General features: G+C 40.4%; 1 protein-coding gene across 10 annotated transcripts in view; it reads right to left on the bottom strand.

Moving 5' to 3' along the window:
- Window positions 1-886: 886 nt before the first annotated feature.
- Window positions 887-19,362, bottom strand: part of UGT3A1 (UDP glycosyltransferase family 3 member A1) — a 50,017-nt gene continuing 31,541 nt past the window's right edge. For 8 of the 10 annotated variants that reach the window (XM_047416709.1, XM_047416708.1, XM_011513957.3 and 5 more), the window contains 5 exons: window positions 17,900-18,014; window positions 15,267-15,798; window positions 7,069-7,300; window positions 5,526-5,745; window positions 887-4,359 (listed from right to left, as the gene is read on the bottom strand). In XM_047416709.1, coding sequence (XP_047272665.1) covers window positions 4,083-4,359; window positions 5,526-5,745; window positions 7,069-7,300; window positions 15,267-15,770 — 1,233 coding nt within the window. In that variant the 5' untranslated portion in view covers window positions 15,771-15,798; window positions 17,900-18,014 and the 3' untranslated portion in view covers window positions 887-4,082. Of the gene's footprint in view, window positions 4,360-5,525; window positions 5,746-7,068; window positions 7,301-10,636; window positions 12,833-15,266; window positions 15,799-17,899; window positions 18,015-19,362 lie in introns of those variants that run through there. The other 2 variants (NM_001171873.2, XM_047416710.1) reach the window with 2 other exon arrangements.

Consider the following 19,362-nt stretch of genomic DNA (forward strand, 5'->3'; position numbering starts at 1 on the left):
CTGAATTTGATCATTTGGCTAAGGTCATGTCCACCAAAATTCTCAACCGTAAAGTTACTATTTTCCACCTATAATTAGTAATTAATTTGAAACTGTATAAGCATCCTATTCCTTATCAAACTTCCACTCACATTTTATCATCCTTTAGGATTCTTCTCTGAATCAATTATCAAGATGACGGTGACAAATTAATGCTTTTTAAACTCTAACATCCCTTCTATGTTTTATATCACATTTTGTTTTAACATTTGTCTTCAGTCCTATCTATCTATCTATGTAATCTATTTAATTATCAGTATTATCTCTTGAATTCTTATTTATTCAGTAAGATATAAACTATTACTGTCATTGTTCATAGTGTTGCTCCTGTGGAAGCTCCATTATTTTGGAGCTTTTTATTTCTTTCTTGCACATGATGCTCTAGGCTTATCTTGCACTTTCCCTGTCCCAATTTTAGAACCTACAATTTCCTAAGGAAACCTTTTAGTGAGGAGTGATATTCAGAAACAGGGTATGTTGCCTAGGTGTGTTCATTGCTAATGAAGTGCCACTGTTTGTAATTCCTCTTCCATAGACAGAGCTAAGAAACATAAATATATAAATGTGGGTATAAAGAATACATACCTATATTTCTCCCTATACCTATATTTATATTTGTATTATGAAAAATTATAAATTTATACTGATAACTCTAATTCCAATACAACACTACAGGGGTTATTCTAATCTTCCCCTTCCTCACATTTCTAATTCCTTTTTCCAAAATAAGAAACCTGAATCTCACTGTCATTGATGCATTTACTCAATCTTAGCAAGTACAGAAATTAGGTTCAGATACACTAATTTGCCAACTGAGAATAACACAATTACTCAATAGACTACAAGATTCGTTTGGAGTTCTTTTTTTTTTCTGTTGATTGATTGTATACAGTATATAGTAAAAGTACTGTGTTTAAAAGGTAATGATGCTAATTTTTTTCACTACAGTATAGTTACATTTTCATTTGGAAAAAATTGATTTCATTTGTTTCCGTTTGTATTTCAGTTCTTGGCTTTTCTCTCCTTGTTTATTTAAACATATACTTGGTATGCAAAATATTAACGTTTCCAAAATCCAAACTATGTAAAAACATAAACACATGGATCCTTCCACCCTATTCAAACACCACCCTCATAGATAATCTATCACACTCTGGTTTATTCCCTCTGCACTGTTTTTGCAAGGCAATGCACATAGATATGTATTTTTTTCATTATCCCCCATACACATACTTTCCTTTTTCTTATAAAAAAAAGGATACATCCTATAGTTACTCTTACTCTTTGCTATTTTTTACTTAACCATATTGGAATTTGCTCCATATTAGCTTATTCTGCTTTTGTTTATTGTAGTTTAAAGCTGAATATTATTTCAGTATGTATATGTATCATAGGTTCTTTCTTCAATTTTAATAGTTCTTAGTTTATCAGAAATATTAGGTCTATGTGTAAGATATATGCTGCAGCTATGTTTCTCCAACTTTTTAATTTGGATCGCTAATCTTCTTACCATGATTTTTGCCATGCCAAAGTTTTTTGTGTCAAATTAATTTACACTTCTCTTGTTGTATCAGGATTTTTTCTTCCTATTTAGAAAGTCTCTCCCTATACACAGGCTATGGAAAAATTCACTTTTTCTCTTAGACTCAGCATGGTATCATTTTTTGTACCTAGATATCTGGTGTATAGGAATTCAGTTTTTGATATAGTGTGAAGTCTGGATCAAATATTGCCTTTTTTCTCAATATTATCCAGTTGTCCTAGCAGTATTTGTTCCAGGCACTATGCCAGGTTCTATAACAAGATAAATAGGAACCAGTCCCTGTCTTTATGACCTTATGGTTTCTAAATAGGAAACAGATATTGTAATAAATAATTGCGATATAGTAAGAAAAATGCTTCAAAAGAGAATGCAGTGAGCTCCATTTCAGGTGTAGTGGTCAGGCACAGGCTTACCAATGTGAACACAATGACACTGGATACTGACAGATAAGCAGAAGTTTCTCATTCCAGCAAGAATAGGATGGTATTTCTGAGAGAAGGAAGGGCATAGACAAACCTCAGAGGTTAAAAACAGCAAAATGTGTTCTGAGGGGGTGTAGCGAACATTTGGAAAAGAGTGGGAGGAGAACTGCTCCAGGTGTGCCTAGATTGGTAGCCAGGACCAAATCATAGAGCCCTTATATTCCACACAATGGGAACAAAGATTTTAAACAGTGAGGGATAACACCAGATTTCTAGGTTGTCAGAGCCATGCTTGCAGCCCTGTGGAGGGTGCTTGGACAGAGCAAGATTAGAAGCATCATTCTGGCTCATTGGCTGCTTATGATCAGATTTTAGGGATGCAAGTTTATACAAGTGGCATAAAGTTGACCTCAATGAATTACCAAGTGTTAGAGAAAGGCTATGTTCTGGGGTGAGGGGGGAGTTACTGGCCAGGGAGGCTTATCCCTAAGACCTTATGTTGCTCATGAGGGGAATGAAATCATGGCTGTTGATTCAACAGAAAACACAGGGAAGCATCCATGTCTGCCCTTCATGGGAGTATGGCCATCAATCAATTCATGTGGTTTCATAAGAATTACAGCAATAAAACCTTGTATTATACGCACACAGATACACACACTCTAATGTACTTCTGCGTGCTTCATGCTTCTGGCTCTTGTGTCATGAGAACTCACAAAATGGATAGACATCCAGCACTCAGCTCTGCAGACTCGCAAGCAAATCCTTTCATGGAATTGGCAAAGTTTTTGGTGGGGGGCATTCTCTATTTCTGCAGGAGCATTTGTAACAGTTTCATCTTTTGATCTGAATTGTTTCAAGATCTGTTTCACAATTCTAGAATTAAACAATCTAAAACTATGGTTCATCCAGGGCCTCTCCATATGCCTGTTTTCTACTCTGTGTTTTTAACTCATCAGACACCATGCATTTGACAGTTTTATTACAGTGGAATTTCATTTTATTTCAGAACTCTAAAGCAAATAAAAAGGTACAATCATTTGAAGGTAAAATATTTCATGAACACCAGCTATCAGAGAGGTAGTTTGGTGTTACACTAAGGAAGATAAAAAAGAAAAGATATGGGCTATTGATGACATGATGGAGCAACCAACCACAACAGCCCTGAATGGGCTACCTTCGGGCTTTATCAAGAAAGATGAAACAAATGAACAAAAACTCTGGGGGTGTTTACGCCATGGTTTTTCTTGCTTCTGTTCCTAGCAGATTAAGGTAATCTCTAAGGTTTTACCATATAGAAGGGTATTAACTGCCATGTCGGGGATGGAAGATGGACTTTTTCTAAAATCAACAAAGTCTTTAAAACTACCTTAGCCACTGGTACCTGAAGCCACAAAGCCTTACACATGGATTTCCACTTCACTACTTGAGGTTCCCTGTACTCCATTTATAAGACGGGAATCTTAAGAAGACAACTGTAAAAACTGAAATAAAGCAGTATCATCTGTGACCAACTGCAGGCTCCATGTCTGACCAGCAAAGGAGGTGCTCTCTAAGGAAGGGGTCTCAGGCAGTGAGCAAAGGTCTTGGCAGGGGTTCTCCTTCCCTAAATGCAGGAGAGCAGACCAGGTTTCCTGAGCTTTGAGGAGAGCTTATAGGAAGGGCAAGATATCTGCATAAAATGGAAGAATTTGAAATGGAAGATATGTCAAATATTTCCTGAGTTTTTTTATGAAAAGTGATAGAAGGAGAAATGGGGACTGGAAACTGGGAAGTCATCTAAACAAGGAGGATGAAGTTGTCAGAGTCCTGTGTCTAGGAAAAGGGAGAAAGGAGGAGGCAGGGCTGGCAGGTGAAAATTTGTATCTGAGCTGGGGTTTCAAGTCACAAGGGGCAAGTCAAGAAGCCTCAGTGGTGCGTGAAGATTTCTAAACAGAGGCAGAGAATAGAAAGAAGCAAGTTGCAGGATCAGTGGCAGGTGGAGCTGAAGAGAGAACAGAGGGGTGGCGTGTGCTGGGGTGGGGAGAACCTTCAAAGGACCAGGGATGCCCTCCCCTCACCCAAGGCTACACCTAGCCTCATGTCTTCTTCACCTTCCTGGCCCCACGCAGCCACCTGGCCACCACACCCAGCAGCTTCCCACAAAGCCACATAGTGCCCAGAGTGAGCCCCAGCAGAAACACAAAGACATCAATGAGGTACTGCTCATGCCAAGGCTGCTGGAAGGCATAGGGCTTGAGGTGCGTCGCTCCCCCAGTCTGGAGGATGTGGTCGATCCAGCCCACCAGCCGCTGTGCGGGGCTCAGGGGCTGAGAGTGCAGGATGACACTGGCTGCCACCACTGCCGACTTGTACCTGTTGGCGGAGACAGAGAGGGTGTGTTACTGACGTAGCCTCACAAGTCTTACAGACTTTGTATTGCATGAGCACACACACAAGCATACAAACACTTTTCTAACACATGCACCAAGGCTGGGCTGCAAAGAAAATTTGTTGGCATGGCCTTGCCACGGTCTCACTGAATCCTCTTGAAAAGTTCAATAAAAACACCCACATACAAAGACCAATGATTAATTCTAAAAGTGTTAAACTGTAGGAAAGTGATTAAATCTCTAAGAACTAGTCCATATCCCTAGGATGCTTATGGTATACTAAAGGAAAAAATATATATGACCATATATGAGAGAATATGTACCTGATTCAGGGTTTGTGTTTCTGAAACCATAATAAGGTATTCAGTCCTTCTTGATTATAAGATCATTGGCTGGATGGGCAGTAACCAAGAAGGTCACTATGCCGCTTTTATTTCCTCACTTAACTGAAATTCATGGAAACTTATTTTGTGGCAGGCTCTGCAGTAAGCACTGGGAACAGAGTTGAAAAAAAGAGAGAGACATTGCTGTACTTATGAAGCTGACTCTCTACTCTTTTGTGTTGGGGGCCAGACAATTAATAAAAACATAAATAAATGGAGTCATTACAAATCTTGAAAAGTGTTAGGAAGGAAATAGTATATTATGATTAGGCTGAGTGGGAGAGGAGGCTAGTTAGGATTGTCAAAGACACAACCCTGTCTATGGAAGAAACATTGGAGAAGAGACCCAAATGTCATGAAGGAGCCAGTCCTGTGAAGAGAAGGGAAGGGTGTTCTAGGGAGCAGCACAGACGAAGAAGCCAGAGGTGAGAAGAGCAGGCACACTGGGGAAACACACAAAGAAACCCCCCGCTTCAGTTGGAATTCCACTAGAGGGACTCCCAAATATAAGATCAGTCAAAGAGATCATGTGTATATAATTTGTCGCCATCACAGCCTTAAGGTAGGAAAGTAATTCTCAGCATCTAACCTAAATTAGTCTTCCTAGAGACTTACCAGAGAAAACAGGTGGGCTGTTAGCATCACACACATGTTATTCCATGTCACAGAAGTTTCAGCTATTATTGTGAAAAATACATACACAGTATCCCTTGTGTTTTCTATCTTCATTCAGCCTTAGTGACCACATGCTTAGAGAGCCACATACCTCTTGTCTTCTATGACTTGTTTCATTGTAAGTGTCAGTGTGTCGGCTGTGACCTGATTCAACCGGATAGAGACACCATAATTTTTGGCTACTACTCGGACCATGTTTCCATGCTGGTCTCCATTGACTGGTAATCCCACCATGGGCACACCATGACGGATGGCCTCCATTACGCTGTTCTGCCCACCATGAGTGACAAAAAGACGGATGCTGGGGTGAGCTGTGGCAAATAAGAAAGAGAGTGGAACACTTCAGGATGAAAAATTTTGGAATACCAGGTAAAGCAGAAAAGTCAGATGAAACACCAATGAAATCAAGGTCTGTTGAGAAAATGAATTCACTGATTTTGCTTGGGACACACAAGTGTGAACATTCCAGGATACAAGATTCAAGCCTCCCTTTCTGTAGAGATTCCTCACCTCAGCCCCAATCCATCTAAGACTCTGAATGCAGGGAAAGCTGGAGAGAAGAATGATAAGCAAGGCATATTTCTCCATCCATGCAGCCATCCTTCTCTCTTCACCTCATCTCTCCATTTACTTCCTGCTCTCTGTTGCTTCATAGTACCTACACTGTATGTGCTGTTTTCTCCATTTGAAGAATGCTGTGAAAGCAAGGAATAATAAACCATACACTTCTACTTCCGTATTTCTAGTTCCTGTCTGCCTGTCCCACCCTTATTTAGAGCAAGCTAGTGACTTTTGATAATGAAGAGTTAAATCTGTGTTTCTCAACAGAAATGTGGATTCGAATCTACTTGTGTTCCTTTGAAAATGAAAATATTTTTCCTTGTCCCATGTCTTATAAATTAAATATACAGAAACCTGTATCTTAATTTACCAAGCTGACTTTGAGCCATAAACTTAGTTATGAATCTCTGATCCAGTCACTGAGGATGTCAGTGAGAGGTCTCCAAAAAGTATCACAAGGACAGTAAAACCTATTGAACTGTAAGGAGCTCTGTTACCAAATGACTCAATACCTGGCTATGTGATTACTCAGCTTGGCACTAATATTGTGGCACATCCTTCAGATAATGTTGGCATCAATGTTGTGAATGTATGAGTCTTTCACATCCTTAGTAGATAAAAAGATGTATTTATATAGGTATACGTGTGTTTGTGTAATGGCACATTACTAAACAGGTGGTCAGAAGGCCACAGAACAGGGGCAACATACTCCCAGATATATGCTCTTGGAGTTTACATATTATCTTAGATTGTGTTGGGGTGACTCTGTTCAGTGTCAAATGTAGTAGGGTCAAGGCAACATGACCACATACATATCACCTCTGGTTGGAAACTTCAGGCCTCGCTTGGGTTAGAAAGAAAAAGAGAAAGTGGCTGTTTTCACCATTTTTGAAGTACAGCCTGATTCCCAAAGAATTCCAGCTGGCTGTTCTTTTCCTGTCCTCTGAGCATTACCTTTACCTATGAGTAGCTACTACGTAGGCTGATACAAATGCCCAGCTAGAGGTCAGAACACTGACGAGCACCAAAGGCAGGTCAATGGAAAGAGAAGAGCAGACCTAAGCAGTCCTTACCCAGGAGGTCACTCTGAGGAAGCCAGTCCACAATTTTCACATTTGTGGCCAAATGAACATCTCTGGGCCAATGAGAACTCTGACATGTCCATATCACTCCTTGAGGGAGGTGGGCAAAGGCATTGTGCATCTTCTTGAGGACTTCCTGGGACTGATGGGTGTTCAACATGGAGCCAAAGGCCACAAGGACAAACCCTGCATCCCCAAAGTTGGCAATGAAGTTGTCCAAGTCCTAGAGAGAGATGACAAAAGAAAGGAGGTGGCAAAATTGAGAACGCCTAAGTGTCCATGAAATGAAACCCAGTCTATTTACTAAACATACCCTCCCATCAGTGCCTTGTCTTCACTCTCCCGAAGCTATTATTATGGCTCCTGGCACAGCTCAGTGACCTCTGCACTGTGCTCATATTGTGTCTGGATGACCTAGAAGTCATTTTTCTGATACCTGAGGACACGTTTTTGCATATAAATTATAAATTTGTGATTTTTTTAAGTTTTTGTTCCTGTTATTGATGTCTAGCTCATCCTATTGGGATCACAGAAAACGCTTTGATGAGTTCAGTCTTCTGAAATGAATTGAGATTTATATTGTAGCCTAACATACGGACTATCTTGGGGAATATTCTGTGTGCATTTGAGAAGAAGGTGTAGTCTGCTGTTGTTGGGTGGAGTATTCTCTAAATTTCTATTAGGTCCAGTTGGTTTATGATGGTGTTCAAGATAACTCTTTCTTTATTGATCATTTGTGTAGATAATCTTTCCATTACTAAAAATGGGGTATCGAAGTCCCAAGCTATTGCTGTAGTAATGTCTATTTCATCCTCAATTCCATCAATTATTGCTTCACATATTTTGGTGCTCTGTTGTTTGGTGCATATATATTTATAGCTCTTATATATTGTTGATGATATTTCATATATTATTTTTAAATGATACTTATAATATTATAATTATGTGAATGCAAACATAAAATTTTATATTGTGTAATGCCTTTCTTTGTCTCTTGTAAATATTTTTGACATATAGTCTATTTTGTCTGATATTTGCATAGCTACCTAGCCTATTTTTGTCCTCAGGTAATTCTTAAGAAAGATTATGATCTAATGCCCTAAAACTTAGCTCTAGCACTGTTTCATCAATTATTACTTCCAAACATTTCTTCAGACTCTTCCTCTCTCAGCATTTTTGTGACTGTCTCTAGTCCTGAGCCCCTCATTCTACTGGGTCATTGTGTAGGATAACTTGATTCCATCCAGCATAACACTGCCTGAACTACCATCTCAATTAACAAACTGAAAACAGCTTTGTTGTTCTTGTAATTATAAAATCATTATATAAAATCAAAAGAAGCAGAGCAATAATGTTAATCAGCAGCCGCATGCCCTTGTTCTTTCAGAGAAACATTTGAAAATCAACTGGAGACTGACTCAAATGACTCCGTAGAGTTTTGAAAACCAGTCAAAGATACACAGCAAGCAACCAAATGCCCAATCAAGAAAAAGCCACTTTCAAACAGTATAAATTTCTAATCCATTTTATTTACCTTTGCCCTGGAGTGGCAGACCACAGTCCACAGGCAAAAGCTCAATTGTGCATTCTTTCCCTCAGCCAGAAGGAGCAGAATAGAAACTATTTACAACATTCTAACCTGTCTGTTGGCTACTTAGTGACTGGTTTGTCTCACCTAATTCAGAGCTCACACTGGGAATGGTGACATAGCTCAGATTTCAAGCTGACAGAAGTCATAGAAAGCAGTGGTAGGTACCATGACGTATGAAAGCTTAAGGGATACTGCAGACCTATGAAGGCTTGGGTCAAGAAGTTATGGACAGAAGAATATAATAGAACATCTAAAGTCCAAGAAGAGTCTGGGCGAGGTTCATTGGGAAATTAAGGCATTCAAAAACAGTTGAGCATACAGAGGGAATTGGAGGAAGAAAAGCACACACAAAAGTCCAGATGAGACACATAACCAAAAAATACCTGAGAAGACCTTAATCTTGATCAAAACACTCAAAACATGCTCTTCCATGCCAGACTGCAAAGACTGACAGAAGTAACTAATTGTTCAAATGTCCAATTTTCAACAAAAGATCACAAGGCATACAAAGAAATAGTCAAAATGCATAATTTTGAAAAACAAAATAAATATCCAGAAACCCTTCCTAAAGAAACACAGGCATTGGACTTACTACACAAATATTTTTAAAGAAACTCTCTTAAATATGCCCAAGGAGCTCATGGAAAACATGGGAAAAAAACTAAAGTAAACAAGAAAAACAATATGTAAACACATTTAGAATATCAACAAAGAGAAAGCTTTCAATTTAAAACAGGAAATTTTTGGAGCTCAAATATGAAATCATTAAATTGAATTTTTTTCTCGTGGGCAAAAGAAATAATCAGTGAACTTGAAGACAAATTATTTGAAATTGTCAAGTCTGAGAAAGAAAAAGAAAAAAAGAATGAACAAAATGTAAGGGACAATAGGACATTATCATGTGGATCAATATGTGCACTACGAGAGAAAATGAAAGGGAAAGAAAGGCTATTTGAAGAAATAATGGCAGATAACATGATTCTATATATGTAAAACTTTAAAAATAACATACACACACACACACTAAAGATTAAAAATCTATTAGAACTAATAAACAAATTCAGCAAAGTCGAAGGAAAAAAGTCAAGTCTCCAAAGTCAGCTGCATTTCCATACACTAACAATGAACAAATCAAAAAAGAAATTAGGAAAACAATTTCAACAATAATATCAGAGAGAATAAAATAAACTTAACCAAGGAGGTGAAAGATTTTACATTTAAAACATGAACATTTTGCTGAAAGAAAGTAGACACACACACAAAAATGGAAAGGCATTCTGGCTTCATGAATTGGGACACTTATTAAGATGTCAAATATGTACAATCCAAAGGGATGTACATATTCTATACAAACCCTATCAAAATCCCAATAACTTCTTTTGCAACAGAAAAATCATTCTAAAATGTGTAAGAAATATCAAGAACCCTGAATATTCAAAATAATATTGAAAAAGAGCAGAGAAGAAGTTCTCACAATTGCTGATTTCAAAACATATTACAAAGTTACAGTAATCCAAGTAGTGTAGTACTGCCATAAAGATAGACACATGGACCAGTGGAATAGAAGACTGAGCCCGGAAATAGACTTTTGCATTATGGTCAAATAAATTTTGATGACAGTGAAATGGGAAAGTTCCCTGACCCCCCCTCACAGGGTATGTGACAAGGGTGTGGCTTGTCAGTTTGGCCGCAGCCTCCGCTGCTGCTCAAACTCCTTACAGAAGGGGGAGCATGCAGACGGGCAGGTGCATGAGCCTGGGTGAGTGCTTTGGGGCTCTGGCCCCACAGCAGTATATAAGGGTGGGTGCCTGCAACTCCTAAAGCCCACGTGAGCATGGTGTGTGTTACAGTGCACTCTTTTAGCTTTGCAATCTACAGACGGCTTAAGTGTTAACCAGCTCAACGCCCTCTTGGTACCCAGGTTCTTGTCTGGCATCCAGAAAGAACCAGGTCACACATAGACTTGAAGATGGTGAATGTGGGGGTTTTATTGAGTGGTGGGGATGGGATGCATGGGGAGCTGGAAAGGAGACGGAATGGGAAGATGGTCTTCCTGGAGTTCAGCCATCCAGTGGCTGATCTCCTCTCCAATCGCCCCCAGCTGAACTCCTCTTGGTGTTCAGACTCTCCTTCTCTTCTCTCTGCCACACCATTATGCCATTCTTCTGCTCTTCTGTTCATCTCCTTTTCATCTGCTTCTGGAACCTGAGGTCTCAGATTTATATGAGTACAGGAGAGGGGCGTGTGGAGAGCCAAAAGGCAACTTTTGTGTGTGAAAACAGGAATGCATGTTCTCAGTTAGGGCCAGAGGTTTCCAGGCTTGAAATTGGGACCTTTGCCAGGGAACTGCCCTCTTCTACCCAGTATTTCTCTGTCTCCTAGCCGTATCATCTCCCCTCTCTGCAGAGGCAAATCTAACTGCCATTAGAATATGGACGATGGCCAATCTTAGCTAATTTCTGCTGACAGGTGGCACTATTTTGGAGAAAACAGCAGTCAGATTCCTCCCAGAGGTTTATCTAAGGGTCCTTGCAAAAGGGAGCCGTTGTCCGAGGCTCCGGTTGCCTGACCATTTGGAGTTTGATGGCCTCTAAGTGAGAGGAAAAAACAAGTTTTATAAGGTTAAGTAGGCATGGGTTAAACAAGTGTATTATACAAGAAAATAATCTAGTGCCAAAGATCACAGAAATAACAAGTGAAAATACTAAAACCATTCTGCTTTGAGCTGTTTCACCCTGGTGAAAGAAATTAAACCTTGTATAGAAGCGGTTCAACTTTAGAAGAGAGACAACTGTTCTTGCCACATCTGTAGCAATTAACAAGTGTACCCTGGGAATTCTGGGGTTTATGGGCTTGCATGGTGACCATTAATGCTTCTGCCTCTTTCTTGTGTCCCCCATCTCTATTGTAAAAGGCAAAGATGGCCACTTTCAGTTAGACCTCTAAAGTATTATCTGGTCCCAGGGCCCATTTCTGCAACTTCCTCCTGATATCAGGGGCTGTCTGAGTAATAAATTTATTCTTCAGAATTAGTTGTCCCTTCACTGAATCAGAAGATACGGGGGTATGCTTTACCAAGGCCCCTCTTAGCCTCTCCAAGAAGGCAGTGGGATTTTCATTAAATCCCTGGTCTATCATAGATAGCTTGCTATAATCAAGAGGCTTGGTCTTAGTCCTACGTAATCCCTCCATGATGCATACCTGAAAGTATCTCCTCTTCCAGTCTCCCATTTCAACACTGGGATCCATCCCATCCAGGGTCATTTACTGGTACTGCTTCTCTTCCAGTCGGATAAAGTTTGCCCCCTTTCCTGACACTATATGTGAAACAAAGCTCATCCCCAAATCTCTCTGCTACTTGCAGAGCAGCCTGCTTCTCAGTGTTCATCAGGATCTGATTCAAAAGTAACACAATGTCTCTCCAAGAGAGTTCAAATACCTGGGTTAAATTCTGGAAAGCCTCTATCTATCTGTCAGGGTCATGTGAAAACTTGCCAAAAATCCCCCTTAATGTACTTTAAGTCCTGTAGGGGGAAGGAGACCTGCACCTTACTGGGGCCAAATTCACCTGGCATCTGTTGGAAGAGGAGGAGTGAGACTGGGGCTTGTCTAGGGTGAGGATTTCTAGGATTAGGCAAGCGAGAGACTGAAGCTGGATAGAGAGGTTGAGGTGGACCCAGAGGAGCAGAGCTGGAGGGAGCTGGCTTCTCTGCTGGGAGTGCCTCTGGGATTTGTTTCTTTAGTTCCCTGGAATTGCCCTTTGCAGCCTCTCCTGAAATGACAAAGCAGGAGGGCTGGATCAATCCTACACTGTCAGCAAAGATCTAGATTTCCCTGCAAGGTATAAAAAGCCTGCACATGTGGGGCCTCAGGCCATTCGTCCTCACGCCTACAGAAAATGTCCAGCTGCCAGATGGTATCACAATGAATGGTTCCTTCCTGAGACCAAGCCAGTCCTTCATAATTTGGCCAAACCTTTGTTCCGAGGGCTAGGAGGTGTTTTTCCTCCAGATTCTGAGGGTCAAAGCAGACTCAGTGGTTCAGGATACACAGGCTAGGAGGTGTTTTTCCTCCAGATTCTGAGGGTCAAAGCCATCTCAGTGGTTCAGGATACACTCCAGAGGAGAATAAGCTGGGGGTGGTGAAGAGAGCTGGTTGCCCATTCTGAAAGACAGGGAAATAGAGGTGTCCCTCATTTCCCTTCCTTCTTTCAATGAAAACTCAGGGTGTGAGGGAGAGAGAAAGCAAGGGACTTTCTCTTCCATCTGTTGTCCCTGAGTCCTGGCAACTTTATGGATGCCACCCACAGGTGCCACTGTGGTCTGCACCCGTGAAGCAGGGTGGGGCTAGAGAATAGGAATTATCTCCCCTCACCTATGCCTCTATTTCCCCTGCTGTTGAAAACCTTTGAGTTCCCTGGGCCTCATTTATGCCTGGAGCATGGCCTCCCTCCATGAAGTGGGGGTTTAGTCAGCAGGAATTTGTCCTGCCCATTTACATTGTGCCTGTTGCCTGACTTTTGATCCCTCAGATCGGGCAGATCGGGTTTTCCTTTCTAGGCCCTCAGCCTGAAACCTGGAATTGAGTTTGGGACAAAAACGGATTTCAGGGGCTGCATGTATCTTGTTTAGATTGTCTCAAATGGGCCCTGCCGAATTTGCAGTTATCAGCCAGCAGGGGTCGCTCCTCCATTATTTTCTCTATCAGAAGCAGCGTGCTGGGAAAAGGAACCCTCTCGATTAGAAAAGGAAAAAAATAAAAGAAAGAAAAACACAGCTTAAGGGGCAAAAAGGGGAGGTCCTGGGGAAAGAACCTCTTGCTCTGTGCAAATAGGTTCCTTTAATCATTATAGCCTTCCCCCGGTTCAGGCCAGGCTGAACTCCTTGGCCAGGGGAGAAAAAGTTCCACTGGGAGGCGCTGGCCAGCTGGTTCATGGGGCCACAATGGCAGGCCCAGTTTTTTCCCACCCCTTGTGGCTGTTGGGCATGGCTTGTACATGCTGTGGACACAGCCAGGTACCGAGCTGGGAAGGGAGGGGTTAAGGAGAGGTGCTGTGCACTGCTCATGCCTGTAGTTGTCGGAATGGGGGGTGGGGATGGCACCTCTAACAAAAAATGGAAACCACTTTGTTCTGAATCGCACCTTTAGTGGCTGAGCCAAATGCTCATTCTATTTAACATATTGTTTAATGCATAGGAAGTTTCAATTTGGGAAGATAAAAAAATGTTTTGGAGACAGATGGTAACGATAGTTAGTTGCACAACAATATAAGTGTACTCAATGCCACTGAAGCATACCCTTAAAAATGGTTAAAGTGGTATATTTTATATTATAAATATTTGTCCACAATTAAAATAATCAAAAAGAGAAAAAATATTTGAAAACAAGCATCTGTTATCTCATAATCTCAACTCCCATTATTCTCTTCCTAACAATTTCCACAACTGCCCCAATGCGAAGACCTGACCCACCCTCCTGGTAGCTAAGACCTCAATTAAATCCCCATGGTTTTATTCATGCAATTGAATCTTCTACTACACTAATCTAGCCAGCGTCACCCAGAGAACCCAGTGCTATGGCCATCTCACTTGCACCTCCACATGTTAGGTCCCCCGCTCCCTGACCTGGGGTGCTTTCCCTCCCAGCTCCATTCCTAAATACACCTACCACCAATGCAAAGTCCATCTCATCCATAGATCATTCCCCAACTCTTCCTGTTTACTCAATATAAGATCAGGGAAGGAAGAACAGTCACTTTCGTACCTGGAAAGTCCAGGCCAAATCCAGGGTCTCGTGGCCTCTGCACTACACAGTGGTGGGAAGGTCACCTACATCACCTGTGCTTCTGTCCTCCTCCATTAATAAAAATGGAGATGAACACACCTCCCTATAGATGTCAAGATACTAAATATAATAACTTCTGTAAAATGGGAACCCAGTGCTCAGAGGCAACAGGCTGCCAACTCATTTCAGCTCTCCTCCCTTTGAAAATCTTCTATAGCAGTGGTTCTGAGTCTGCGCTGTTTGAATCACCCAGGCAGCATTTACAAATTACAATGGCAGGGGCCCACCCCAGACAAATCAAGTCAGAAAGTCTAGGTGGAACCAGGAGCCAGGGCTCTACAGGCAGGGAACACTGGAGATAACACTGTCAGTTCTTGCTGTCAGTCCCATGCAGTCCCACCCTGCTTACCCCGAAACCACAGTGTTGTCTGTTTCACTGTGAGTAGCTCATCTCCTTAACAATTATTGCATGTAATGGGCACTAACTACGTATTTATTTTACACATAATCACACAACATAAAAATTAAAATGAAAATAGCAACTTTAATTAAAGGGCTCATCCCACTGATTCTAAGACCAGGGCATGGCAAGAGAGGAGCCAATTTAAGGAGATCTCTATCTCAGGATCCTGCAAGGCCTGACACTGTACTTGCCAAACCCTGAAAGTCAGCACTTCCTTTAAGAACGTGCCCTAGGTGCCTCCTTTGCCAATCCCTACTTCAACCTCAGGATCCCACTGGCAGGTGGCAGCCACCAACTATGCACCCAAGGACTCTATGTGAATCCCAAACTGAATGCTGAGGGTTCACTTACTTGTGGTACTGGTTTAATAGGTTTTTCCATCAAGCCTCCAATATAAACAGTGTTGGGAAGCAGGGGCCGGGCAAAATCAAAGGCAAAATCAGAGTTAACAAACCACAACTCTGCTTTCAGTAGAAGATGAGACAAAACTGGCCTAGAGCCTTCTGGGAAATGCTCCTTGATGGTGTTGTCAAATGTAGACTGCATGTCCCATTGGCTCCTGGAGAAACTAAAGAACATCAGAAAATTCTTCACTCGGCCCCAGAAGTCCATGTGATCAGTCAGCAAGGAAGGGAATACTGGAACATAAGACAAGGGGCTTGGTAGCCCAAAATCCAAAGAGCCGAATGTGGTGGGAAGAATGGCCACAAATGGTTTCACAAGCTTCTCAGCAATCAGGAAAGAACAGAAATCAAATGCTTCAACAAATACCAGATCATAGTTCTCATTCTTTAAGGAATCCATTATATCCTTTCTGCTTAGCAAATAACTACATTGAGTCCCAAATATTTCCATTAGCTTTACAAGGGCTTCAGATTCTTTTCTGTAATAAAGAAAATAAATAATAAATATTTGGGAAAGTGTAATTTTACAGTATTTGGGAGAATGTTAGACTCAAAAAAATATTTCAGGTATGTTAAGAATATAACCAGTATCCATCAACCCATTCTACAATGTTTCAACAAATACTCTCAGCTCTGGTCACTCTGGTCCAGATATTTCTGCTCTCTAAAATGTCCCCACTTGCTCCCATCCTATTTCTTCCCCTGATCCAATTCCCACCACCATCAATGCCAATTCAACGTCCTACTCTGGGAGCCATCTCTGACCACAGCAGATCTCAGAGTTATATGTCTCCTTTATAAATCCTGTGATGCTCTGTTAACCTTCATTTATATACTGACTTTTTGTGAGTGACTGTCTTTTCTCCAGAAATCTATGTAAGTAATTTGACAGGCTCCTTAAATATTGATGATGTAGTCTTTTTAAAAATACTGTGTATCTTGCATTTGACAGATTGTCTCATGCAGTGAACTTTTTGATGACAATATTAGAATCCAAAATCTCAGCTGAAACGAGATTTTTCTTCCTAGCCTAGGAGTTAAACAGTAAAAAATAAAATAAAAATAAAAGCCTGGTTTGAAATTTATTATCAGTCTTTCACTTCATGCTGGCTGGAACATGCTAAAGTTTTACTGACACCTAGTTAAGACTCTTCCCTATGGCACTATTCCAGAAGCTACTGCCCTTCAATGTCTTCCCATAATTGCTTGCATGGAAAATGATCCTGTTTGTATAGAATACAGAAGAAGAGATGAAATAGATCCTGAGCAGTGGTAATAGGTACAGGTGCTCTGGAGACCACAGACCTCCTAATCACATGAAGAATGGAAGAAGCAATAGCCCAGCAAGCCTGTAACCCAGACACCATCATATCATGTCACTTCACATAAAGAAGGCCTACAGGTTTAGAACTCATGAGTGATATGCAGATCTCTGCCTGTTCTTAAGAATCAACTTTAAATTACAACAATGGTGATTCTCTGAAATTATCCACTATTTCATTTTTTAAAAAAAATTTTACATAAAGAATGATTTTTAAATATTGTGGATAAATTCAATATATACAGTATGAACTTCCCAAAAGTATAACATTAATCATATTTCAAGTAAATAAATTGAAAAAATCACAGGAAGGCACTGATCCCAGTAACTTAGAAAATATTTAACATGTATCTGGAACCTGTCTTCAAAGAAATCAAGCTGGAAGAGAAGAGACAACACATATACTTTAAAAATATGTAACAACACAAGATGCCATAGACTAAGTATCAAATGAGTGCTATATGCCAGACCTATGGAGGAGAGAAAGTGGTCTTCCAGCTTGAGTGAGGAAGCAAGCTTTATGGAATAATTAGATTTGAGCACCACCTTGACTACTGAGTAGAATTTTCAAGGAAAGCAAAGAGGATGAAGCCACTATAATTAACTAAGAATGGCATGGATTTGTGTTTCTCCTCTTTTATGTGGCAGATGAAGGAGATTCTTTGTATTCCAGGTGAGGGCAAGAAGTCTCAGGCTCATCTCTCATTGTATACCATCATGGCATTTGATTGTTTTTAAGGAGTTTAAAAGGTGAAGGTTCAAGGTGTGAAAAATCAATGTTCATAAGAGTTTTCTCCATTAGTGAATTTATGAGAGGACAAGGAGGGAAAATAAGTGAGAATAGGTGTTTCTTTTTTCTTGACAAACAAAAGAGTTGAAGATCCTAGCTTCTTTGTTGGGGAGAATGCATACAGAGATTATAGGTGAAGTGTTGTAAGCAAGGCTCAGAGGAGCAATCCCCTGCTTTCTATAGAACCCTTACGGTAGAAGAAGGACACTATAGACTCAATTGTTGGGAATGCAAACCTTGTCTACTCTATCCACTCAACCACCCAGCTGTCCTCTATTTCTCCATCCCCTCATTTATCCAACTGTCCATCCATCTATCCATTCATCCACTCACACATCATCTATTTCTCCATCTATCCATCACCCACCCATCTATTTCTCTAAAACTCACTCCAAATATCATGCATCTCTCTATTCATTTGTATCACTAAAATAGTGACTCTTTGCTTCATAGAATGAAAAGAAGTTACCTGCCATCCAATGCTGTTTCTATGTAGCTATCAAAATGCTTCTTAATTCTTTTTTGATGATCTTCAGGTGAAAACCACCTGATAACTTGGTATGATTTTTCCTCCTCTTTAATATCTAAGAAAACACCAATTGGTTAAAAAGGTAAATATATCATACAACATGGATTAACATTAGCATGATGATATTAAAGTTTTATTCTATTAATTTTACATTTATGGAAATGTTTAAAGTTTTATGTTGATTTGGTTTTGTTTTTCTTTTTCATTCATTCAAATGCACAACCTGATAATATTGAGACTTTATCATTATCCAGGCACTTTTATTCAATTTAAAGTTATAAAAGTTTCCACTTAAAGCTTTCATTTAAAGGAACAGCTATTACACTTATTTTATAGATGAGACAACAGAAACTAATGCAGTGTGAGGTAATTTGTCTCCTTTGCACACATAATGAGCTGTAGGGCTTGTGTTTAAATGTAGGTCAGATTGATTTCAGAGCCCATGCTCTTTTCTCTTTTAGAAAAAATCATTTTCAAGACTTAAAATAATACCTACAAATAGGTTTTTATTCAGTCAAAAAGTTCTAAAAAGCAAAATTTAAAAATGGTAGTCCCCTTCATTCTACTTACCAGCCCCACCCCTCCCCCATCACCCATGTGTAATAAGAAGTCTGACTCCATTCTTGGAGTTTGACTGCTGACTCCTTTCCAGCCCCAGCTCCTACTTCACTTTCTATGCCTCATCTGGTCAAACTGAGAAGAAAACTTCAACTCATTCTCCCTTGTTACTAATGAGAACTCCAAACCAAGCAAGCCAGGCCAAAGTGGGAGAATCCTCACCTCAATTCAAGTTTCAATCAGAAGTTTCAATAATTTGCATTGTGAGACAGGAATGACAAACAGGGATCCTCTTTTCAGTAGCCCTGGATCATGTGTCTCAAACCAAAGCTATCTGTATGTCTCAGATGGAATTGTGTTTCTCAACTACAGCATGAGCTGTGGTTGACAGTAACTCAGTGGAATAACTCTTACCCTATGAGCACTGGTTATGTGTCCCAATCATATATCACCTCCCACACACACACCATTGTAAAGAGCACTCAGGGTTAAGACTGACATCAGTGCAATATATGATCCCTCCAAATGGTGTGAAGAATGGTAATCATTGTGTGGCATGCTCACATCCACAATCCTAAAAATAGATGGTCCACTGGGACCTCAGAAAATGCCTTTGCTACTATTGCTGATTATATCTCTGTAGCTAAAAATGCTCCAGATGAACAGAATTATTAGGAAAAGCACCCATGACAACACTATACAGCCAAAGAGATCCTTCAAACCCAATTTAAGCCTTGGGTCTCTCAAAATTACCAGAAAGAAGGTCTCTAACCTTGCTGATACTCATTGGAACTCTCTCAGAAAGAAACTTACAAAGATGAGCATGTTAGAAAGGACACCCATCC

Source organism: Homo sapiens, chromosome 5 (assembly GCF_000001405.40).
Source record: "Homo sapiens chromosome 5, GRCh38.p14 Primary Assembly".
Classification (NCBI taxonomy): domain Eukaryota; kingdom Metazoa; phylum Chordata; class Mammalia; order Primates; family Hominidae; genus Homo; species Homo sapiens.